The sequence below is a fragment of the Homo sapiens genome, chromosome 17, assembly GCF_000001405.40.
Source record: "Homo sapiens chromosome 17, GRCh38.p14 Primary Assembly".
In the NCBI taxonomy this organism is placed as follows: Eukaryota; Metazoa; Chordata; class Mammalia; order Primates; family Hominidae; genus Homo; species Homo sapiens.
The window spans coordinates 28,529,738-28,553,296 of record NC_000017.11 but is presented as its reverse complement, the minus strand read 5'-3'; the positions used below and the strand labels follow the sequence as shown (position 1 = coordinate 28,553,296).

The window sequence follows — 23,559 nt, the reverse complement described above, 5'->3', positions numbered from 1 at the left end:
CACGTGGCCATGTGCCCTTCCTAGCTGGATTGCCCAAGGCTGTTAGCATCTGCTTTTTACCTGAGATACTAATTCATCAGGTCAAAAAAAAAAAAAAAAAAAAAAAAAAAGTCTTGAGCACCAGCTGCAGGGAGCCTTCTGCTAGGTACAGGGGTCCTACAGAGAACAAAGTAGGCAGGACCAGTGCTTTCACAGAGCTGAGCTTTCAGGGGGAAGAGTCAGCGGACAAATAAAAATAATTTCACATAATGCATTAGAAAGACAAAAACAGGCTGGTCAGATGGTGACTGAGGGGGAAGGACTTCAGACTGGGTGTGAGGGAGGCCCTTTGAGCAGATGACATTTGAGCTGTGACTAGGAGAAAAGAGGCCATCTGGGGAAGACCATCCAAGCAGAGACCCTGAGCCTGGAACTCACGGGCAGAAAGGCTGGAACACAATGAGTAAGCGGAGAGGTAGTCAGGACCCCACTAGTACCAGTACAAGAAAGTGTTAGAAAAACAGAATGAAGCCCAGGGCAGGATACCCCGACTCCCATCCCCCGCGCCCGTCGCATTTCGGGAGGGTTGGGCCGGGCGGCGGGCGGGATCAGCGCAGGGCCCACCCCAGGGGCGGGGCCGGGGCGGGGCAGTACCTGGGGCCCCGGCCGGGGGCGGGGCTGCGGATGCTCCCACTTCCCCCGGCTCCAGCCGGCGCAGGCAGCGGCGGCAGCAGCAGGCGAGCCTCGGCCCCGCAAGGCCATGAAGGTGAAGAAGGGCGGCGGTGGGGCCGGGACGGCGACGGAGTCCGCTCCGGGGCCCTCGGGCCAGAGCGTGGCCCCCATACCACAGCCGCCTGCGGAATCCGAATCTGGGTCCGAGTCGGAGCCGGACGCAGGCCCAGGGCCCAGGCCGGGGCCGCTGCAGAGGAAGCAGCCGATCGGGCCGGAGGACGTGCTGGGGCTGCAGCGGATCACCGGTGGTGAGCACCCGCGAGGGAGCGCCGCCCGCGGGTGGGAAGGGGAGAGGGTGCGAGGGGCCCTCCCGGCGCGCCAAGCCCTGGCCCCCGCCCCCTTTCCCGCCTCCCCTCCCCCACCGAGTCCCCTCTCCTGTGTCCCCTGCTCTCCCTTCTGCCGCCAGGTCTGAGATCTCTGTGTACCCCCTTCCCTTGATCTCTCTCTGTGCCTCCTTCTTCTCCCTTTCGAGATTTATTCCTTCCTTTTCCAGGGGCCCGTCCCCTTTTCCCAGCGTGGAGGTACGTGCGGCAGCAGCTGCAACCATAGCCCTGTAGCTGTGGAGTCTCCAGAGCGCTTTGAGGCCCGTCCCTGCACTAATGAAGAGAGGGGCTGAGTGCAGCCTGTCCTCAGCCCCCACGCTGGAGGCTAGGTGGAGGCTGAGTTACTTGGGAGGCATTCAGACTCTTCATGTCTCCCCAACCATTAATACCCTCACCCTGATCCTCCAGGAAGACTTGGGCCATTTTCTTCCCCGGGAAAGAAACTGAGCAGGCAGCTTTAGTGTGTTGGCTGTGGTTCCTCTCATGGGGAGTGGCATAATGTCCCTCCAAGCCTGGACTAGCACCTGTCCTCTTCTGGGGGCTCTGTCATCAAGGGAGGCTTGGTCTCCACTGTGGTTAAGAGTTTCTGAGCTGGACTGCCTGGGTTGGAGTTCCAACTCTGCCATATAATTGTCTGTGTGACCTTGGGCAAGTAACCTCACCTCTCTGAGCATGTCTTTTCATCTGTAAAATGGGGATAATGATACCTTTCTCGTAAGATTATTGTGAAGATAAGTCCTCTGATTCTGTACAGTGCCTGGCATCTATGCATGCTGTGTACATTGGGCTCTTTGATCAGTAGTATTTTTGGGCCCTACAGGGCTGCTCATAGCTGCTGCCTGGAGTCAAACAACTTGGCTTTCAGGGCAGGGGAGGGGGTCATCATAGGCAGGGAACGAGGGCTAGGAAACCTCATAGCAGAGGCTTTGGATGAGCCTCAAAGGATGAAAGGTGCATGGAGAGACAGTGGCTCTCCACCTTGGCCACATTCACCAGCAACCTGCCCTGGCCCCCTTTGTGAGAATAACTGTTGGGGGGGGCCTCTCTGTGGGTATGGGGGGCATGTATTGGAGTGGACCTGAGCCCTAGAGCTTCCAAAGCAGCAGAACACCGGACTCCCAGACAGAGCTGTGGAGGGGAGACAGCCTTGAGCCTGTGCTCCTGGGTCCCTGGGGGCCAATTCCTCTCTCCTTACTGAGCTAGGCAGCAGCCATTCTTAGCTGGGCCCCCAGAGTACTGAGCTCCCTTGCCCAAGCAGGCATCAATGGAGAGAGGGAGGCTGGACCAGGCTGATGTTGAAGCCAGTTGGGCTACAATTTGCAATAGCAGCATTTAGGATTCAGCTTAGCTCTGGGGCAGAACTTTCTCAGACTGACTGAGTCCTGAGTAACTTTGGGGGTTTATTTTGCAACTAGAGGGAGCTTCCAGCTCATGTACCACCATTTGTCTCCTAATTTGGAGGAAATTCATAGCCCTTAGAGATGGGGCATCTGTGAAGGGTAAGTAGAGGAAAGGGCTTCATGAGAACCCCTTCCTGTGCAGGAATTGAGAACAGAGTTCCAGGGATTTCCACCCTGGCACCCCTTGCCTGGTCTCTTCTGACCCTAATCATGCAGGTCTGAGGTTTGCTGTTCCCAGATTACTGGGCCCTGAATCCAGCTTAGGAAGCTATTTGTGGCTGAGAGGAATAGAGCAGTTGTGTTCTGAGCCCTTGGCCACTCTGCCCCTTATTCTGACCTGACCCTGGGTCCCAGGCCTCATCCTTTCTAGAAGAGAAGGAGTGGCCGTGGTGTTCTGAGCCATAGATATCCGTGTTCCTCACTTCTTCTAAGGACAGAGAGGTTGATAGATTGAGTTTGCAGTAGAAGAGACTGAGGTTAGACTGCAGGAAGTTGTTCCCAAATGAGAGAGGCTCCAAAAGTTGGAGAATGGGAGAAGAGAAGGCCTTACAGGGATCTGGGAGTTGGGCACTGGGATCCTGCTCCCCACTCTGCCACCTCCGTTCCCTATGCTCTGTACCTTCTTTCTATGTCTTTATACTGGTGCTTACTTTCTGTGAAAATAGGGTGAATGGGGTGAGATAGGGGTTGCCCACTTCCATTCTCTCCCCACCCCACATGTGGGCTGTAGTAGACTCAGGGCCCTGCCTCTTCCCCAAGCTGTATAAAGTCCATGCTGGGCCCCAGGGTACCAGATGGCTGCCAGGAGGGCTTCCTGGAGGGGACAGCGTCAGGCTTGGGGAAGAAGCAGACCTGGGGAAGAGAAAATGACTTTATATTCACTTCCTGTTCCTGCCCCAGAGGAATAGGAGGTGGCCCAGGGGCCTGGAGGGTGATTTCCAGGCCTCTGTGGGCCACCAGGGGAGGATGTGATGCTGTGCAGGCTGACAGCACGAGTCCCTCCCTGCACCTCTCAGCTCTTTTTGTTGCCAGGGCCTCCCTGAGCACTTGAAGTTGCTGCTGCAAGAGCTGTGAGGGTTAGATCAGGCCCTGTAGCTCCCTGAGCTTCCTCAGGCAGGGCCTCCCACTGTTCTTGGTTCCCTTCCTGGGCCTGAGGACTCCCCTTACCCCTTCCACACCCACTGCTGCACCTGCCACACCCTCCTCCTGGCCTAGCCTGTGTTCTTCTCTATGGGGGTCCAGGACTACTTTCTCCATGGTGGTGGCTCATAGCCAGGGCTGCGTAAATGACCTCTAAGGGGGTTCTCTCTGCTTGCTAAGACTTCCTCCCATTTGGAGATCAACAAAGGATGAGAGCAAAGTTGGCCTCCTCCCACCTGCCATATCCCAGGCTCTGGGCTTGAGTCAGCAGAGCTTTGGTTAAGCTGCTTAAGGGAGCTGGGCTGGTGTAAGCTTCTTACTGAGAGGAGGGGGTTTGGAGGAGAGGAGGAATAGGGAAGGGGTTGTTCACCTGCCCCAGCCCCACCCATATCAGGGAAAGTCCCCTTAACATCAGCCTCACCTGATACATCTAGATGTCATGCCAGGGGCAGCTGTGGGGTGAGGGTAGGAGTATCCTCCAGAGAAGGACAGTGACTCTCCCAAGACAGAGCTGTGTGGCCCCCTTTACAGGTGGTTCTCAAAGGCAGGGTACCAGAGAAGTTGATACACTGAGTTGCAGTAGAAGAGACAGGTCAGACTGCAGGAAGTTGTTCCCATATGAGAAGAGAGGCTCCCACCAGGCTGGATACCTAATTCTCCCAAAGTCATCTAGCCAGCCTTGGCAGAGCGGAGGCCAGAATGAGGACCCTCAACTCCAGAGTGGGAGAGAGAGTGTTCAGGAGGTGGCCTTGTCCTCTACCCTTCTCTGCCCTGCCCTTCCCTGGCCCCCAGAGACCAGTAGGATGGCACTCCTTATCCCCTGTTAGATCCCCATGGCGGAGTTATGTCTCTTCCACACTGGGGGTGTACCCCAAGGGCAGGGACTGAGGTCCCTCTTTCCAGAGGGCAGTGATCCCAGGGATGAGAAGATGGTAGCTACTCTGGGGTCCCACACAAGCTGACCTGGCAGCAGGGGCTTTGCGGCCCCTTCCTTGCTCAGCTGCCTGTTTCCCCTAGACTACCTCTGCTCCCCTGAGGAGAATATCTACAAGATCGACTTTGTCAGGTTTAAGATTCGGGACATGGACTCAGGCACTGTCCTCTTTGAAATCAAGAAGCCCCCAGTCTCAGGTGAGTGGGCTGGGTGGGCCATTGATGGGGAGGCAGATAGGAGCTGCGGAGTGGGCTGCCCAGGGAATCCTTGGGCCACAGAGGAGTCCACAGAGCTGGGGCTTGGACCCCAGCATTCTCAGGAGTCTGCAGGCAGGGGGGCCCTTTCTTTTCCTTCCCATATGTTTCTGAGGCTGGACATCTTGCGAGGTCAGCCCTACCCCTTCGGTCCCTGCCAACCTGCCCTCTGCAGGGCTCTCTGGGAACTGCAGTCCTACGGGTCCCAGGCCTCAGCATCCTGTGGCCCGGGGAAGCACAGTGGCGATTGGGAACATGCAGACCTAGAACCCCTAGGTGGCACTATTTGGCCAATGGTCTGAGCCCTCAGTGTGCCCCGGAATTTCTTGGGGAGTTTAAAAAAAATCAGATAGATGGGGACCCAAGGGTAGAACCCTGGGTGGACAAGGGCCCAGCCTGAAGCCCACTGAGCCCCAGCTGGGGTACATTGCAGAACGGTTGCCCATCAACCGGCGGGACCTGGACCCCAATGCTGGGCGCTTTGTCCGCTACCAGTTCACGCCTGCCTTCCTCCGCCTGAGGCAGGTGGGAGCCACGTGAGTCGCTGGGCTATGGGTGGTGGTGGGGGTGAGGGAGAGGGTGTGAGTGGGCCCTTCTCAGCCTCTCGTAGGGGTGGCCTGTCCTGAGCCTGGCTGGCTAGTTGACTTCAAGGACAGACTTAGCCCTGCCTCCTTTTCTTGCTCAGGGTGGAGTTCACAGTGGGAGACAAGCCTGTCAACAACTTCCGCATGATCGAGAGGCACTACTTCCGCAACCAGCTACTCAAAAGCTTCGACTTCCACTTTGGCTTCTGCATCCCCAGCAGCAAGAACACCTGCGAGCACATTTACGACTTCCCCCCTCTCTCCGAGGAGCTGAGTGCGCGGGCAGGGTCTTCTGGGAGTGGGGAAGTGGGGGCGTCTAGAGACTGAGCTGCGGGAGGGAGAGGGACTTGTGGGTCTGATCCCATTTCTCCCCACCCTGGGGCTCTTCTGTGTCTGCCACCATTCCCATATCATCCGTAGAGAAAGAGGCTGGGGATATTTCAGGCTGTTTGGCTGTCCCTGTACCCCAGTCCTGAAGCCCCTGCAGTGGCGGGACTCAAGCTCCTGACCTTTGCCCGGCCTGGCTGGGCCTCTCTTGCAGTCAGCGAGATGATCCGCCACCCGTATGAGACCCAGTCTGACAGCTTCTACTTCGTGGATGACCGGCTGGTGATGCACAATAAAGCAGACTATTCCTACAGCGGGACACCCTGACCCCACGGCTGCCCTGACCCCAGGAGGCTCCAGTTCTGGGCTGGGAGCTGTGACCTCCCCAACGCTCACCCCTCAACCCCAAGTCCTCTGCTTGGGGAGTTCTCCAGGAGCTCCGGACCCTGAGTCAATGTTGGGAGGAAGGGTACCTGGTGTCCCCAGTCAAGCCCATGAAGCCCATGCGGCCTGCTACATGGGGTGGGGTCGTAGGGAGGCTGTTTGCCTCCACGTCTAGGAAGGCCTGTGAGAGGAGCAGTCAGGACTTCCGGACAACTTAGCTGGGCCCTACTTGGGCCCAAGTTTCAGAATAGTGTTCCCCTATCAAGGCTGTGACTAGATCAGGCAGGGATCCATTCCCTGTCCCCTGCCCACTACCTTCAGGCCATTTAGAGTTGTAAATTTACAAAGATCCACGGTGGGCTCCAGCTGCCAAGCCACCCAAGGGAGTCTGGGCCCTAGGCCTAGCCCCATCCCTCCCCATGAGGGGCCAAGACACTGCCTAAGGTGTGGGAGGGACTGGCTGAGATTGCAGCCCATGGTAGGAGCTGGACCAACTGTATATAGTTTTCAATAAACTTTTTCCTTTTCTGTTCTCTGGTGTGGCCAGCCTCTGTGTGTATGGGCAAAGAAGGGAGCAGGGATAGGCAGGAATGTGCTTAAGGCAGTAAAAATTTCTCCTACCTCCCACATTCCAGTGCACTCTCACCCCTTAGTCTTCCTGTCCCCTGATTCTCTGTACCCTGACACCATATAGAGTCAGCATTTAGAACATGATGGAGCTGGAGAGGGTCTTTCTTGTGATGAAGGAGACCCAGACCCTGAGAGGGGAAGCTTTGGCCCAAAGTCAGAGCCAACCCTGGCAGAACAGAGGCCGAAACAAAGGCCCTGAACTCCAGGGTGCAAGGGGAAGGTGTGGGGGGTGGGGGTTTGGCCTTGTCCTCCACGCTACCTTCCCTGAACCCCAGAGGCCACTAGGACCACTGGGTTGTGTTTTTAGCCCTCATGATAGACGGTGGCAGGGCTTTGGCTAAGGCCTGGAGCCATCTCCTTGCCCTCAGCTGCCTTGGGGAGCCCCCATGCCTGGGTAGCCCTGCACATAACACTGCCCTCAGCCTCCACCCCCACCCCAGACTCAGAGGAGGGGGCTGCTTAATGGAGGAAATTCAGGAACTGAGGTGGGCAGAGAGCACACCCTACAGTTTCAGGCCCTCCTTCAGATATGCCCAGAGCTGACGCACCCTCTGGGCTGAGGAGCTCTGGCCCTAGGAGGCCCAGAAGTGCTGGCATTCAGCTTGATTCTGTGAAGCCCTTGCTGGGGGAAGTGGGGTGGAGCTAGGATCTGCACTGAATTCTGGGAATTCTGAAATGAGTGAGACACAAGGAACACATACTCGTCCCTAGGGAAAAAAAAAGGACTGGGGACACGGAGAGCAAGAATCAGAGTCGTTCTGTGTGGAGGGTTCTGGGGAGGATTTTTAGAGGAGGTAGCACTGGAGCAGGTGCTTGTGATGGAAATTGATGGGGAAGAGTGCTTAGGCACAGGGAACAGCATAAACAAAGGCTCAGAGGCAAGATTTGTCAGGTGTTTGTTTGTTTGTTTACTTATTTATTTGAGATGGGGTCTCCCTCTCAAACTCCTGGGCTCAAGGGATTTTCCTGCCTTGGCCTCCCAAAGTGCCAGGATTATGGGCATAAGCCTAGGTGTGTTCAAGAGTCAATATGATGTGAAAAGAAGACAGATTGGCAGAGCCTTAGGAGCAGGGCTTCTGAGAAGTGGGGAGCCCCTGTGGAGGATTAAGTGGGCATGACCTGGTCAGATTATCTCTGGCTGCTGAGTGAATGGTGGATTGGAAAGAATGACACTAATAGCCAAGATTTACTGAGTGCCAGGCTGGGTGCTCTACATGTGTTAACTCATAAACATGGTCATTTCTGAGGAAGGCACTATTATGATGCCCATTTTACAGAAAATGTAGGTCCAGAGAGGTTAATGTACCCAGCCAACGTTGCACAGCTATGAAGTGGCAGAGCCAGGACTTGAATCCAGGCAGTCCGGCTCCATGCACTACCATACTAAAGGCAGGGGGGCAGTGAGGATGAGGAGGGTGCTGCAGGAATCTGGTGAGAGAGAAAGAGAAACTGAATTAGGTCAGTATCCTCAAAGATGGAGAGAAACAGGTGAAACTGATATTTTTAAGAGGTGAGATCCTCAGGAGTGGTGGCTGATTGGATGAGTGGGTTGGAGAGAGGGAGGAGGTGAGGCTGACTGCCTGGTTTGTGGCCTGGGTGCTGGGGTAGCTACAGGTGCCATCACTGGGTTTGGGAATGCAGGTTGGATCAAGGTGGATGCCAGCAGGAGAGGGTGACTTCAGACTGGGACATGCTGTGGCATGGAGGAAATTACCAGAAGACAGGAAAGGTGGGCCCTAAGACCAGGAGGGGAATAAGGGCTGGAGGTGGTGATTGTCGAGGCCATCGGCCACAAGGTGATTTCTGAAGCTATGATGGTGGCTGAGATCATGGGGTCCTCCACTGACACTCTTGTTATTTAGGAATGCCAAATGTCCTGCAATTACTGGGATTCTCCCAAACAATGCTATTATAATACAAATCCCCATCCCCTAATTGAGGGTGCCTGAACGAGAATGTATCACCTTAGGGAAGGCCAGTGTTTGAGAGCAGGGCGGAAGGAAAGGAAACAATGGAGACAGGAGGAGTGAGCCTCCAGGGAGGTGGGAGCAGAGCCATGTTTTGGAGGAAAGAATTTCATCACAAAGCAAGTGGGCAGGAACTATCAGTTGCCACAAAGGTAAAGAAGGAGAATGAGGACAAGAATGTGGAAGGGAGGGATTTGTTTGCAGATGAGGCTGTACAGGTATGAAAGAAAGGCCAGTATAGGGGTGATTTTGCTGTTGTAGTTTATGGGGTTACAAGTCTGCAGAGAAGGTATAGCAAGGAAGAGGACCTTTTCCCAATACCCTGATAATAGTTCTACTCACTGCAGCTGCTAAGTAAAACTGGGTTGAGGTTCTAGATTGGGCCTGCTGCACTTCCATCTTCAGAGAGAGAGGAGGGTCCCTATTCTGAGGTTCTCATCTCTGAAGTAGGCACCCAGTTGGCACTCACCTTGAAAAGAGGCCTGCGTTCCTTGGGCTTGGAGGAGCCTAGGTTGGGAAAAGCCTTGGCCCCATGCCTTCTTTTAAGTCTTCATGCCTCTGGCACTAGTCCTATTGCAAATGGTACATCTTGCTGCATTTAGTTCCTGGCACTGTCCCTAGGAACCTAGAGGCTGCCTGGGAGGAAGACAGGGTGGAGGTGGGGCTAGTCTTGGCTCTGATGTTGATGAGCTGTTGACCTTGAAGGGGCAATTCCCTTTTGTCTCTGAAATGGGCCAGTCATTTTTGCTTTGACTCTTTTTTTTTTTTTTTTTTTTTTGAGAAGGAGTCACGCTCTGTCGCCCAGGGTGAAGTGCAATGGCATGATCTCCAGGGTGCAGTGCAATGGCATGATCTCGGCTCACTGCAACCTCTGCCTCCCGGGTTCAAGTGATTCTTCTGCCCCAGCCTCCCAAGTAGCTGGACCCATTACAGGCACCAGCCATCATGCCCGGCTGATTTTTGTATTGTTGTAGAGACGGGGTTTCACCATGTCGGCCAGGCTGGTCTTGAACCCCTGACCTAGGTGATTTGCCCGCCTCGGCCTCCCAAAGTGCTGGGATTACAGGCCTGAGCCACCGTGCCTGGCCTGCTTTGACTCTTTAGGGGTGTCATGAGGATCCTGCCCCTGGGTAGAGAAGGAAAGCCCAAGTACCACAGGGAAACCCACAGCTCGTGCCCTCCTGGGCTGGCCGGCAAGGTGCTCACTGGGACTGCCAAACCAGTGGTTAAAATACTAAGATCTTCCCTTCCAGCTGTTAAAAAGCTGCTGTCCCAGGCCGCCCTAGCCTGGCCCCTCCCCTAAGAGTCACCCTCCACTTCCCCACCATCTGGCAACTAAAGCAAGGACATTACCCTTTTTTTTTTTTTTGAGTCAGGGTCTCGCTCTGTTGTCCAGGCCAGAGTCCAGTGGCACAATCATGGCTCACTGCAGCCTCAAACTCCTGGGCCTAAGCAATCCTCCTACCTCGTCTCCCAAGTAGCTGAGACTACAGAAGCTACATGTGCCACCATACCCAGCTAATTTTTTGTAGAGATAGGGTTTTGCCATGTTGCCCAGTCTGGTCTCGAACTCCTGTGCTTAAGCAATCCTTCTGCCTTTGCCTCTCAAACTACTGGGATTACAGGCCCAGCCCCTTGCTTTACTTTTCTATGTGTCACAGACTCTCTTGTTGTCAGTCTGCTAAAGCCTATGGACAATAAAAAGGATTTTAGGAACATAAAATATATTGTTATCCTATTTATTTATTTATTTATTTATTTATTTATTTATTTATTGGGATAGAGTCTCGCTCTGTTGCCAGGCTGGAGTACAGTGGCACAATCTCGGCTCACTGCAACCTCCGCCTCCCAGGTTCAAGCGATTCTCTTGCTTCAGCCTCCCGAGTAACTGGGACTACAGGTGCATGCCACCACACCCAGCTAATTTTTGTATTTTTAGTAGAGGTGGGGTTTCACCATGTTGGCCAGGATGGCCTTGATCTCTTGACCTCATGATCCTCCTGCCTTGGCCTCCCAAAGTGCTGGGATTACAGGCGTAAGCCACCCTGCCAGGCCTATCCTATTTATTTTATGTATTAAAAACTATATACAATTGGCCATAGGTTCCGCATCTGTGAATTCAGCCAACTGTGCATCAGAAATGTCTGTACTGAATATGTGCAGACATTTGTCTTGTCATTAGTCCTTAAATAGTACAGTATAACAATGATTGACAAAGGATTTACATTGTATTAAGTATTATAAGTAATCTAGAGATGATTTAAAGTATACGGGAGGATGTGTGTAGGTTATATGCAAATACTCCATCATTTTATATCAGGGACTTACTTGCACATTCATGGATTTTGGAATTTGTGGGAGGCCCTGGAACCACTGTGAGATGACTGTGTGTGTGTGTGTGTGTATCTACAATCATGCACTAGATATCGATGTGTCTGTCATGACAGACTACATATATGTCGACAGTCACATAAGATTATAATACTGTATATATATATATATATATATATATATATATATGTTTTTTAAGACGGAGTCTTGATCTGTCTCTCAGGCCGGAGGGCAGTGGCACAATCTTGGCTCACTGCAACCTCTGCCTCCTGGGTTCAAGAGATTCTCCTGTCTTGGCCTTCTGAGTAGCTGGGATTACAGGCGTGTGTTACCACGCCTGGCTAATTTTTTGTATTTTTAGTAAAGATGAGGTTTCGCCTTGGTGGCCAGGCTGGTGTTGAACTCCTGACCTCAAGTGATGTGCCCGCCTTGGCCTCCCAAAGTGTTGGGATTACAGGTGTGATCCACCGTGCCCGGCCAATACTGTATTTTTTACTGTACCTTTTCTATGTGTTGTAGAAACACACATAGGCATTGTGTTACAATTGCCTACAGAATTCAGCACACTAATATGCCACACAGGTTTGTAGCCTAGTAGCAATAGGCTATCCCATAGAGCCTCTAGGTGTGCAGTATGCTCTACCATCTAGGTTCGTGTGAGTAAACTCTATGATGTTTGCACAATGACAAAATTGCCTAAGGACACATTTCTCAGAACGTATGTCTGTTGTTAAGCGACAAATTACTTTATGTGTGTGTATATGTGTGTGCATGTGTATATATTTGTACATATTTTGTACTATCTATAATACAATTACAAAATATCTGTGATTTCTATTGACAAAGTCACAGGTATTGCCAATGCTAGTGTGATTTGTTGCTGACATTCACAATAGAGGGAAATTCTAGATTTCAGGTAAGGATGAGAGAAAATGAAGATGTAACTTTTTCATGCAAGTTCCTGACCTGGGAATTCTAATCCATTTGAGATCTCTCACATTTAGAATCCCTGAGCAAAAGGATTAATTCCCTCCAAATAACGGACTTGAAGACGCTGCATCCATTCAGACAAATTGTTGCTCACCCTGGCCAGGTGTGGTAGCTCATGCCTGTAATCCTAGCACTTAGGGAGGCCAAGGAGGTGGCGTTGTTTGAGCCTAGGAATTTGAAACCAGCCTGGGCAACATAGTGAGACCCTACCTCTACAAAAAATACAAACATTAGGTGGGTGCGGTGGCCCACGCCTGTAATCCCAGCACCTAACAGAGGCTGAAGTGGGAGGATCACTTGAGCTCAGGAGTTCAAAACTAGCCTGGGTAACATCGCGAGACCCCATATTTACTTAGAAAAATAAAATTAAAAAGATGGTTGCTCACTCTAATAATGGCTATATGCTTGGTATGGGGTGGCCAGCAGGGGGCAGCATATGAGTGGGAGTGTGGGGCTCATTTCAGGGTGGAACTGAGGCCCAGTTAAAAAAAGTCTGAGGGCCTGGTTACACTCTCTCTCTCTCTCTCTCTCTCTCTCTCTCTCACACACACACACACACACACACACACACACACAAAACTAGACCCAAGTCCTACCTGCTTGCTACCTGTCTTCTTGCATTAGGGGCCAGTTCACACACAGGTGTGCTGAATGTGCCCACTGGCCAGAGTTTTGACAGAGGGTCTCCTGGAGGAGATGGCCTAGCCTGGGTATATAAGGCAGGTTTGTCTGAGCTCTCAGAGTCTCAGGACCCGAGGCAAGCAAATGGGTCCCAATAGGATTCTCCCAGGAAACATTTGCCCTGTGTTTGGGGGCCTGGATGTCATCAAGACACAGGCCCAGGGTTGGACAGAGCTGGTGTGCAACATCGCCTGAGGTCTTGGCAAAGAGCCTGCACCTGCTTCCTACACAGCCAGGGCCAGGCTGGGGCAGGTGGGCCTTCCTCTTGGGTGCACCCGCTGGCCATGCCTTCCCCACTCCCTATCCTACCTCAGCCCACCAGCCCTGCATCTAGCCTTCCAGCCTCTGCTGGGGCGGGTGCTGGGGTAGGTGGGGTTCTATTATGGGGTCTTTTGCAGACCTATCCTCTCAGAGGTAGGTGTTGGCTGGCCCCCTGGGCCCAGCCCCAAGAAGAGCTTTGTTTTTTTTATGAGACAGAGTCTCACTCTGTCACCCAGGCTGGAGTGCAGTGGCACAATCTCAGCTCACTGCAACTTCCACCTCCCAGGTTCAAGTGATTCTCCTGCCTCAGCCTCCTGAGTAACTGGGATTAAAGGTGCCCACCAGCACACTCAGCTAATTTTTGTATTTTTAGCAGAGGCAGGGTTTCACCATGTTGCTCAGGCTGGTCTCGAACTCCTGATATCAAGTGATCCACCCATCTCGGCCTCCCAAAGTGCTGGGATTACAGGCATGAGCCACTGTGCCTAGCCATCCAAGAAGTGCTTTCTTTTCTTTTTTTTGAGACAGAGTCTCACTCTGTTGCCCAGGCTGGTGTGCAGTGGTCCAATCTCGGCTCACTGCAACCTCTGCCTCCCGGGTTCAAGCGATTCTCCTGCCTCAGCCTCCCTCCTGAGTACCTGGGATTACAGGCGTCCACCACCACGCCCAGCTAATTTTTGTATTTTTAGTAGAGATGAGGTTTCACCATTTTGGCCAGGCTGGTCTTGAACTCCCAACCTCAGGTAATCTGCCTGCCTGGGCCTCCCAAAGTGCTGGGATTACAGGCGTGAGCCACCGTGCCCAGCCTTCATCCAAGAAGAGCTTTCTAAGCAGAGACACCACTTGTGGCTGCTCTGGGACCTGGGGATCATGTATGTGCTTTTGGCTCCCACATCTGCCCCATCTCTCTTGAGACAGTGCTGCGGTGACACCAACCCCACCTGGAGGTGACACCTAGGGGGTGAGTCTGAAGTGGGACTGAGTGAGCCCCTGACCATCCAGAGACCACTCTCCAGGACCAGCAGTGCACACAGCACCAGGGCATGCTCCATTTTGTCACCTGTGGAACTCAGGGCCCCAAACCACTTGGCATCTCTTTCAGCCAGGGACAGATTGGAAGCAGAAAGGCACAGTTTGGACAGGGCAGCAACTCCTTCTTGTGTGAGGAGATGGGGGTGCAAAGAGGGAGTGGGCAGACCTCAGAGGCAAGGGGTCTGGGGGAGGGCATCCCCTCCATTCCTCTGGCCAGGGCAGCCTCTTCCCTGCATCTCTTTGGAAGTTCTCCTGGGAAGAGGCCCTGCTCACCTGCTCCTCAGCCTCCCCAGTGGGTCAAGAAGTTTTCCTAGATGCCTCACTCTTTGGATTAGAAACTTCCTAGTTCTGGGTGAGGGTGACAGGGACGTCACAGGCCCAGGGCATCTGCCATCAGTGTGGCCTGGCCATTTTGCTTAGGGAGAGGGGCCAGAAATGAAAGCTTGGTAGTGAGACCACAAGGCACTTGCTTTATTGTTCCAGGACAGGGGACAATGACAAGCCATCGCGGGATCTGCTTATGCCTCCTATAAGCCTGGGGCCAACCTGTGGAAGTTCTTGTCACCCCCAGGCCCAGGGTGGGCTGAGGTTCCCCCTCGATGGGGTCAGGCTCATGGCAGGCACCTGGGCCACACCCCGCAGGGCCAAGGGTATCCCTTGTGCTTCCCGGGCACCCTAGGTCTGCCAAGCAGTCAAAGCGGGGGTGCTTTGCATGGGTGCTTCCCTGTCACCCTGTGCCAGGCTTTTCTCCTGAATGCCCAGGTTGCCTGAGACAGTTGGAAGTAACTAACAGGTGCTCCTCAACTTATGATGGGGCTACATCCGGAGAAACCCATCGTGAGTGGGAAACATCGTAAGTCGAAAGTGGTTTTTGACTTTCGGTGGTTTCAATTTACAATGGGTTTATCGGACATAACCGCATCCTAAGTCGAGGAACATACTGAATGTGTATTGCTTTTGCACCATCTTAAAGTTGAAAAAGTGTAAGTTGAACCATCATAAGTAGAGTTAAGCCAGGACCTAAACTATGTGAACTTTTCTTTCTGGAGGAGGAGTGAGATTGTGGTGACCTGGAGGGGGCCCTTCCTGCACCCGGGACTGGGGAAAAAGGACATGTTCAAGTTTCCGAGGGCAAGGGCTTTTCCAAACACTGCTTCGGAATTGGGCTCAGTTTGGTGCCCGGGTAGATGTTGCCCCTTCTGTATGTCACCCTGGGGAAAGCTGGACAGAGCATGTACTAAGGATGGGTAGAGAATGGCTGAGTGGGTGCTGCCAATTAGCAGCTCCTGGGGGGGTCCACAGACAACCCAGGGAGGAGCTCTCTGTCTCCTCCTTCTTGCTGGGCTGTTGGGATGAAGATGGGGGAATAAATACAGGGCGCTTCTGGGAAAGAAAATGACGAGGGGGCCAGGACTGCAGAGCATGTGGATGTCAGAATGGGGGTCTGGGGGGATCTTTGGCCTGGCACAGGGCCCTGAGCTTTTGGTAAGCAAAGCGCTCAGCTCTCAGTTGCCCCAGAAACGAAGTCGGGCTCTCAGTGATGGAGTGCTGGTTCCTCTGGCTGTAAGATATGTGGGTGGGTGTACATCTGAATAATTTGTGTGTGTGCACGAGGGCTTAAGTGTGGATGAGTGTGAGCTAGGGACAGGGCATTTTCCTCTTGCCCAGACGCTTGCTCTTTGGGGGCCCTGGGTGAGGAGCTGGGCCACCACGTGGCAGAAATGTGTGAGAGGCAGCACCCCAGGTGATGTCCTCTGCGCCCCCAGCTACCAGCTGACACACACGTTGGCTTAGTGGCATAGGGGACAGGTAGTATTTTCCTTCCTTGACCTTTAAGGTGAGCCCGATGTGGGCGGCCGGCCAGGACTTCCAGACCAGGCAAACGCTGGAGCTGACGAAGCTGGGCACAGCTCATGCCAGGGCCACGGGCTTGGAGCTGGGGCTGAGGTACACAGAGGGGCCTGCAGGGGCCGTGGGGGGCGTGGGCTCCAGCTCCATAAAGGCAGAGTAGAGGGTGGTGAGGTGCAGGTCACCCAGTGCCCCGGAGCCACCACTGCCCGGGGCTGCCAAGTCACCTGCCCCACTGCCTGTCTCTGTCAGACAGGGCCCAGGGGGGAAGCAGTGAGGTGGTGGCTGGGGTGGTGGCATCGAAGATGATGTCGGGGATGAGGTCACCAGTACCAGGGGGTCGAGGGCCAAGCTATCATCCTTCAACTGTTCCCACAGGTTTCCTAGATGGGGAAGGAGAGAACAGGTGTCACTGGGAGGCACCGGAGGAGCCCTGTCTGGCCCCTCCTCCCTGTCAATCTTCACATGCTGCAGAGAGCAGGGGTCAGGGTGACATGTGCTGGGAACAGAGCCTGGCACTAGCTTGTGACCCCAGGCAGTTGCTGAACCTCTCAGCCTCAGATTCCTCCTCCCGTGTAGCACAATCTGAAAGCCGTCGATCTAGATGACCTCTGTGGTTCTTTTTGGGGGGTGGGCATTGGGGAGGGGTTGATGCCTGCTGACAGGCTGACAGCATGGATGCCAATGTTGTGCACTTGGGAGTGAACCCTGGCTCATGCCCAGTCTCCCAAGGAAGGTAGATTTGCAGCCCAGATCAAGCAGCTTCCGGCAGTGTACTCTGGACCTAATGGGATGGATGGGCATGGCTCCCTGGGTCTCCTCCACTGCAGGGCCCAGGGAATGGGAGCAGAGCCAGGATGCACACCTGAGTCCGAGGAGCAAACAGTGCTGCCACCTGTGGACCCTCATCATGGCTGACCAGGGCCTGGGGCTCCTGCACTGGGTATCCAGGCTGCAAGCTCTGGAGAGAGAGGGCCTGACTAAACCCTGGATTGGATTTGGCTGCCTGGGTTCCAGTCCCAACTCTCCCTCTTTCTAGCTAAGTGACCTAGAGTAAGTTCTCAAGCCTCTGTGTGCTTCCATGAAGCAGGTTTAATAATCCTTCCTATCCTCTAGGCCCAGATGAGAAAGCACATAGAGAGCAGCCAGCCTGATGCCTGATGCCTAGCAGGGGATCAAGTAAATGTTTTTCGTATCCCACATGTCTATAGCTTCCTCTGAGGCTGATTGAGCCCTGCTCCCCACTTCTGGACTGGGCTGAGGATCTATGTGCACTTTTCTAATAGCTTCCTAAACCTGGGTTGTCTCCCCATCGGGTTGGGAGCTCTCTGAGGACAGGCTGCCTCCATCAGCTTGTGAATGTCCCCCACCCCTGTGCACACAGAGTCTGAGGCCTGGGTCGTCACCCCGTTCCAAACCTCCTGTGGCCAGTATCAGGGCCTGGGATGCACTGGAATTTAGACGGGAATGGGTGGGCTTAGCCATCTGCAGAGACGGAGCAGCCAAGATGGAGTGGAATGGGTAGAACCCTCCCCAAACTCCTATCTCCAAATCTCTCCAGGACTTGCCCAGCTCTGAGACTCTTCCTCTAGGGTAGAGTCTCTCTCCTTCTGCTTTAGAAGATGAACTCTGATAAAATGCAAATGCATCTGAGAATGTTCAGACTACTGGTCACTCACAATCGAGTATAGAATAGAACACGGAGCCCTTTGCAGTCTCTCCAGAGCTGAGAGTGGTTTTTTTGTTTGTTTGTTTTTGAGGCGGAGTCTCGCTCTGTCACTCAGGCTGGAGTGCAGTGGCACGATCTTGGCTCACTGCAACCTCCGCCTCCCGGGTTCAAGTGATTCTCTAGCCTCGAGTAGCTGGGATTACAGGTGCATGCCACCATGCCCAGCTAATTTTTGCATTTTTAAATAGAGACAGTGTTTCTCCATGTTGGCCAAGCTGGTCTCGAATGCCTGACCTCAGGTGATCTGCCCACCTCAGCCTCCCAGAGTGCTGGGATTACAGGCGTGAGCCACTGTGCCCTGCCAAGAGTGGTTTGATGATGAGGTCAGTTGGACCATGTTTGGAGCACCAGGAGGAGGGAGACAGGGGCAAGGACATCCCTCTTTCCCCATTCTCTGGATGGCAGAGAGCAAGTGGGAAGCTCCCCCTGCCAGGTCCAGCCTCCTCTGCTTCAGTTGACCAGAAACCCAGCCACTTGCAGGCTGCAGTCTGGAGACTTGGAGAAGATGAGTCCCACTGCCAGGTGCTCCTCTCCAGTCCTGTCCCACCTTCCCTTTCCCACCCCCAGCTCACCCTGGAAGTCGAAGTCAGTGAGTGAGGGATTGATGGCATCCAGGTCAGTGCCAAGGTCTCCATCTGGCAGCAGGGTGTCGTGCATAGTCCTGGCTGGGGAAGGCTCGGCCAGTAGCTTGGCACTGTGGCTGGGTGGGGTGTGGGCAGGCAGAGGCGAGTCCTGGGGGGTGCCTGGCTGGGCCCGCAGCTCAAGGTGCCCGTCCGGCTGTGGGAACAATGGCTGCGGGGGTCCAGGAGGGGCCAGGCCTGGTGAGAGGTGCAAGTATGTCTGCCCATAGCAGGAGGGTGTGTGCCCCATAAGTAGGTCCTGCAGGGGGTTCTTGCCAGGAATGGGGCCTGGAGCTGGGTGGAGTGAGTGCAGTGGTGGGGAGAGGCCAGCTGGGGGTGCCAGGGGCCGGATGGGGCCTGAGCCGGACAGCCCAGGGGGCGGACAGCCCAGGAGTGGGGAGCCCAGCTTTTCTCTCTTGTCTCCAATGAGGCTGTCCAGCTCTTCTGAAAGGCCCAAGAGAGAAAGAACACCATGAGACCTCCCTCCTCCACAGTCTTCCCCAGACTGGAACCCTTACTCGGGGCCTTGCCTCATTCTCTGATTCTCTCTTTTTTTTTTTTTTGGCTCATGAGTACCCTGGGCCCTTCCTTGCGTGGCCCGGCCGGCCTCACCTGGCTTGGCCATGCTTTTGCGCACAGCAATGGGATCTTTCCTCTTCCATTTTTGCAGCTCCTCTTGCATCTTGTCGATCTTGGCCGGATTGAGGGCCCACAGGCAGCCCTTGCGGGAGGAACTTCCTGATTTGTTCTCCACCTTCTCGAAGCACTTGTTGAGGGATAGGTTGTGCCGGACAGAATTCTTCCAGCCATCGGGTGCTGTCTGCCGGAACAGAGCAAGACAAGCATTCAGGCCAGGCTCAGGAAGCCAGAGCGGGCTTCAGGTCTGGGTTCTAGAACACTCCTGTTTCTCCTCTGGGCACAGAGCTGCCGCCCACTCTGGGGCTTGTTGTCCTCCTCAGCACCCATCCCTTGCTTGGTACCCTTTGGTGGTAGGGGACGGGTGAACAGGAACCTTGACCCCAAGTTATTTTCATCTCAAATCTGCCTTCATCCCACCCGCATCCCTTCCTGACCCCTCAGAGGACTGCCGAGGTGATTCGGAAAGCCAGGGCTGGTGGGCGCTACAGAGGCCTTCTGACCCACAACACTCTCCCATCTGAAGCTGAGCCACTCCCCACTGGGTCTCCATGCCTGTGCTTGGACCCCTCTGTGGAAGGGGGACTCATTACTCTGAGGTCTTGTGGCTGGCTTTAGACAGGGGAATTAGGGGAAGAATGCTCCTCTCCTGGGTCTGCCTTATCCCCTCTGGGACTAACTTGGGAGAAAAGAAAGATGGGCGAGGTTGGTGAGTGTTTGGGTGTGTGCGGTGTGTGCATTGCACATATGTTTGTGTGTCTAAGTGGGTTTGGTATATGAAGGGACAGTGCGTATGAGCATGTGCATACGTCCCTAAGTGTGTCATCCTGGCATAAGCAACGTCTCCTGGATACTCCTTCATGGGTCCATGAATTCCTCGACTGTGAGGATGGCTGTGTGTGAGAAAGTCTCTCTGGGTGTGACTGTGGGTAGCCATGATCGTATGATGTGTGGGTGTGAGTGTTTGCATGAGTGTGCCCAGGGGGCGTGCCCTGGTGGGGAGGCCAGCCCTCAGGCAGTGGGGGGGGGTGCTCGTGCCAATAGAATAAACACCCATTAGGAGGCCTGGTCATGCCACCAGTGTGGTAATTGTGCCCAGGGAGGGTTGTAAAAACCATTAGGCTGACTCAGTTGGGTGAGAGGCGGTGGCGGGAGTGCCAGTGGGCCCCCTGCCCGCCCACCTCCAGCTCTGTTCCAGGCTCTGTGACAGCCCTGAGTTCAGCAGGGGCTGACTGTGGGTAGGGCACTCGCTCTGGCCGGTGGGGCTCCTTCGCCCTCATTCCCTGGCCCCTCCCCCTTTCAGCCCAAAGTTTCTGCTTAATGAGGGGCGGCCACTCCTTCCTCCTCAGCTCACTTGCCCCAGGGAGCAGCCAAGCTGAATCATGCCCAGCAGAACTGGGTCTTGATGCCAGCGTCACTCCAAGTGGCTGGCAGGACCTGGTGCAGCCTTTCTTGGGGGCAGCTGGCCTGGGGCAGGTTGCTGGTTGAGATGACCCCTAAGGCTCCCAGGGTCACCAGGGAGGATTCTTGAGCCACCAGACCAGCCAACTAGGGATTCACCTTCGACTCCCACCACAGTCTCCACTAGGAGTTAAGGCCACGTTGCCCCATGGGCGGAGTTAATGGGCGCTGGGGCCTTTTATGGCCCCATGAATCTGTGACTTTGGGATGCCAGGGCAGCCCCCACCCCAGCCACTTCCTGTTTGGAAGAGGGATGGTCAGCACTAACAATTATGTCCAGTGGCTGGACACTTCCCCAGCCCCACATCCCTGACTCATGGGGCTATGGGATGCCCACAGCAGCTGCCTTGGGCATGAGTGCTGGCCACTCCAGGGTCCAGTCTATCCTTGCCCAGAAAAATGATCTTCAAAAGGGAAGTGAGAGATGGAAAGAGGTGGGGGATCTTTGAACTAAGGAATTTCCTTAGGTGGGTCACAGGGGAACTGTCAGAGTCAGAAGGAATCTATGTGCCAACGGATCTGACCCACTTTACAGACTGGGAAACTGAGGTTCAGAGAAGAAAGGGCCTAGCCCTGGATCACACAAGGAGGCAGTGACAGAGCTTAGCCTCCAACTCTGTCCCCCAGCTAAGGGCCCTGCCCAGGTCACCCCATAGGGCCTGCCTCACAATCTGGGGCCCATCCCATCCTCACAGATGCTTTCTCTCTGAGATCAAATGTAAACTCAGGAGTGAGGGAGTGATGCAAGTGGCTAAAAGCAACAACTAGAACCAAAGGGAACAAAAAGCTGTTAGACCTCTTCACTCCTCAGCCCCATAAAACAGGGATTACATGGCTCCCAGGAAAAATAATTAAGCCAGGAAGATGAGATGCGGGGAGGGGTGGGGGCCAGGCCGGGAGCTGGTGGGGAAGGAAGGCTGAGAGGACTGGGCTTTTCCCTCTCTCTGCCCTGGCCCCTTGAAACCCTAGAAGACCCTCCAAAAGCTTTAGGGGTTAGGGAGAGTTCAGCCCCTGACCTGCTGGGGTATGGAGGGCAGCCCTGAATTCAGGCTTTGATGCTTCTTGAATTCCAGGGACGACTCACCTCCCTCCCTCTTTCCCTTCCAGAACCTCTGGTGGATCAACACACTTTTCCACTCCTGGACAGACCACTCCGGCCAACTTGCCCACTCCTCATCTGATGGCAGCCCAGCAGGATAAACTTATTTGAACATCAAGCGTCAAATTATCCCCAGGCAGGACCATAGATGGTGGGGGCAGGAATCACCCCCTGGCAGGTGGAGCTGAGTTCTGGATTACCCGGGTCTCAGCAACTGCCCACTGCCTGGGTGACAGATGAGATTTGTGTCTACTAGGGCTTGGAGAAGGCACTCCTCACACACAATCTCTGGTCTCCCTGATACCCATCCCAGGAGAAGGGGGTCTGTGCTGGAGGGTCTAGGTGGCACGCAGAGAGGGGTGTGCAAAGCCAAATAGCTTGATCCAGTAACTGATCCCATCTACTGTGCGACCTTAGGGGAATGGACCACCCTGTCTGATGTGTTTGTCCACCTTGGGAGAAGAGCCCCTGTCCTGCCTCTAGAGAGGGAGCTGGGTAAGGCTCCCAGAAGCGCCTTCTGTGAATGATAGAAATGAGATTCTGCCCAAGGGGTTGGGGGAGAGTCAGGTGAGCCAGCCTGGGACACTCAAAGACTGGGAAGCCCACACCCCGCTTTCTGGCAGAACTGCAGCTGAGCCTGCCACCCACAGAGATAGATCCTAATCTCACCTTGGAAGGCAATGGCTTCTTCAGCCCCGACCTCCCAGTCACCGTGGCTGACTAGCTTCTCCAGCCCCACAGCATCCCAGCGGTCGGGGTAGCAATAGTGTCTTATTTCTTCTCCAACTTTCTCTTCCCACTTGGGGTAGGTGGATGCTCCCTGAGGCCCATCGGTGCTACCTTGCCCACCTTCCCCAGCAGAAGGTCTGACTCCAGTCTGCTGTGCAACCTTGGATGAGCCACTTGGGCTCTCTGTTCCCCACTTGGAGCACCTTTTGTAGGAACTCTGTCCTTCTGAGGTGGAGACAACGGAAAGCATGGTGGGGGTAAGCCCTCTCCTGGCTTTCGTTCTAATTCTTCTCCCACCTCCAGACAGAAGCCTCTGCTCAGAGAGGCCTGGCCTGTCCAGGACTTGGGGGTGATGGGATGGGGAGGAATCTTGGGCTCACCTTGAAGTAAGGAAAGTGCTCCGTCATAAAATTGTAGATCTCGCTGACGGGAAGGCTCCCAGTTTTACTGTTCTTAAGGGCCATGAAGATGAGGATGCTGAAGAAAGAGAAAGCCCCTGAGAGTCCGAACCTCTGACTGGGTCCTGAGCCCACCCCAAGCCCCCCACCCCTGGTGAGAGGCTCTATGGGATTGGAGGTGAAAGAGAAGGGAATGAGAAGGTGTCCATTGAAGTGAGCACGGAAGTCAGGAATTACAGACGTGCGAGGGTCTTGTGGAATCTGAGAAACCTGGGTGGCCATCCTGGCCTAGTTACTCTCTGGCTGTGTGACCTTGGGTGAATGCCTTACCCTCTCTGAACCTCAGTTTCCTCAACTTTGAAGTGAAGAAAGTAATAGCTACCTCAGAGTTGTGAGGATTAAGGATGGTGCCTGTCACATAGAAGGCACTCATTAAACGGAAGCTGTCATTACTAGTTAGTCCTCAGCCAATTGCATGAATGTTGGAGAGTAGGGAGGGAACTAAGGTTTCTTGAGCCTATGCAATGTACCAAGCACAGTACCTACATTCTCTTACTTAATCCTTCCAACAGCCTGAACTGCTACCCCAAACCCTGACATTTTTTTCTTTTGAATCTTAAAAGTCTTATATTTTTATTTTTTTTATTATACTTTAAGTTCTGGGATACATGTACAGTACGTGCAGGTTTGTTACATAGGTATACCCGTGCTATGGTGGTTTGCTACACCCGTCAACCCGTCATCTACATTAGATATTTCTCCTAACGTTGTCCCTCCCCTTGCCCCCAACCCCTGACATTTTTTTTTTTTTTTAAAGAGGAATAAATAGAGGCTCAGAGAGATTAAGTAACTTCCCTGAGGTTTCATGCTGGTCAGTTCCACAGCTGGTCTTGAACTCATTTCTGCTGGACTCCAAGAGCTGCGTGTATGTCTTTCAGTGAATGATCCTGCCTTTCACAAAGCCCTTCTCTGCACTCCTGGCTGATGCTTAAGTTCCTCTCCCTTCCCCTCAGCTCACACTAGCTGATGACCCGATCCCATGTAGGGCCTGACACATATTTGGCCAAGTGTCACTGTTGGTTGGATGAAT

At 54.0% G+C, this 23,559-nt stretch overlaps 2 protein-coding genes across 17 annotated transcripts in view, besides 8 other annotated features; one reads left to right on the top strand and one right to left on the bottom strand.

The window, feature by feature from the left end:
• Positions 497-946: a silencer, noted in NCBI's record as "silent region_8343". NCBI's record gives its function as "represses an Ori minimal core promoter by ATAC-STARR-seq in GM12878 lymphoblastoid cells {active_cell/tissue: GM12878}" and the evidence as "EXISTENCE:reporter gene assay evidence [ECO:0000049][PMID:35858748]".
• Positions 669-6,590, top strand: UNC119 (unc-119 lipid binding chaperone). 4 transcript variants are annotated; one of them, NM_001330166.2, is made up of 6 exons: positions 673-959; positions 1,205-1,232; positions 4,592-4,705; positions 5,196-5,298; positions 5,448-5,620; positions 5,888-6,589. In NM_001330166.2, exons 3-6 carry the CDS (start codon positions 4,657-4,659, stop codon positions 5,998-6,000), a joined length of 438 nt encoding a protein of 145 aa, NP_001317095.1. In that variant the 5' UTR covers positions 673-959; positions 1,205-1,232; positions 4,592-4,656; the 3' UTR covers positions 6,001-6,589. The 4 variants fall into 4 exon arrangements, with proteins under 4 accessions (NP_473376.1, XP_011523761.1, NP_001317095.1 ...); NM_005148.4 differs by lacking the exon at positions 1,205-1,232; NM_054035.2 differs by lacking the exon at positions 1,205-1,232 and having other exon boundaries at positions 669-959; positions 5,448-6,590.
• Positions 1,007-1,056: a silencer, noted in NCBI's record as "silent region_8342". NCBI's record gives its function as "represses an Ori minimal core promoter by ATAC-STARR-seq in GM12878 lymphoblastoid cells {active_cell/tissue: GM12878}" and the evidence as "EXISTENCE:reporter gene assay evidence [ECO:0000049][PMID:35858748]".
• Positions 3,107-3,156: a silencer, noted in NCBI's record as "silent region_8341". NCBI's record gives its function as "represses an Ori minimal core promoter by ATAC-STARR-seq in GM12878 lymphoblastoid cells {active_cell/tissue: GM12878}" and the evidence as "EXISTENCE:reporter gene assay evidence [ECO:0000049][PMID:35858748]".
• Positions 4,689-5,525: an enhancer, noted in NCBI's record as "H3K4me1 hESC enhancer chr17:26874790-26875626 (GRCh37/hg19 assembly coordinates)". NCBI's record gives its function as "activates a minimal SCP1, AML or CMV promoter by ChIP-STARR-seq in naive H9 embryonic stem cells {active_cell/tissue: H9 hESC(naive)}" and the evidence as "EXISTENCE:reporter gene assay evidence [ECO:0000049][PMID:30033119]".
• Positions 5,509-5,558: an enhancer, noted in NCBI's record as "active region_11930". NCBI's record gives its function as "activates an Ori minimal core promoter by ATAC-STARR-seq in GM12878 lymphoblastoid cells {active_cell/tissue: GM12878}" and the evidence as "EXISTENCE:reporter gene assay evidence [ECO:0000049][PMID:35858748]".
• Positions 5,509-6,363: a biological region, named in NCBI's record as "H3K4me1 hESC enhancer GRCh37_chr17:26873952-26874789".
• Positions 5,526-6,363: an enhancer, noted in NCBI's record as "H3K4me1 hESC enhancer chr17:26873952-26874789 (GRCh37/hg19 assembly coordinates)". NCBI's record gives its function as "activates a minimal SCP1, AML or CMV promoter by ChIP-STARR-seq in naive H9 embryonic stem cells {active_cell/tissue: H9 hESC(naive)}" and the evidence as "EXISTENCE:reporter gene assay evidence [ECO:0000049][PMID:30033119]".
• Positions 5,579-5,688: an enhancer, noted in NCBI's record as "active region_11929". NCBI's record gives its function as "activates an Ori minimal core promoter by ATAC-STARR-seq in GM12878 lymphoblastoid cells {active_cell/tissue: GM12878}" and the evidence as "EXISTENCE:reporter gene assay evidence [ECO:0000049][PMID:35858748]".
• Positions 14,397-23,559, bottom strand: part of FOXN1 (forkhead box N1) — a 32,553-nt gene continuing 23,390 nt past the window's right edge. For 10 of the 13 annotated variants that reach the window (XM_011525358.2, NM_001369369.1, XM_011525362.2 and 7 more), the window contains 4 exons: positions 22,452-22,548; positions 18,759-18,966; positions 18,099-18,590; positions 14,397-16,180 (listed from right to left, as the gene is read on the bottom strand). In XM_011525358.2, coding sequence (XP_011523660.1) covers positions 15,861-16,180; positions 18,099-18,590; positions 18,759-18,966; positions 22,452-22,548 — 1,117 coding nt within the window. In that variant the 3' untranslated portion in view covers positions 14,397-15,860. Of the gene's footprint in view, positions 16,181-18,098; positions 18,591-18,758; positions 18,967-22,451; positions 22,549-23,559 lie in introns of those variants that run through there. The other 3 variants (XM_017025229.2, XM_017025230.2, XM_017025231.2) reach the window with 3 other exon arrangements.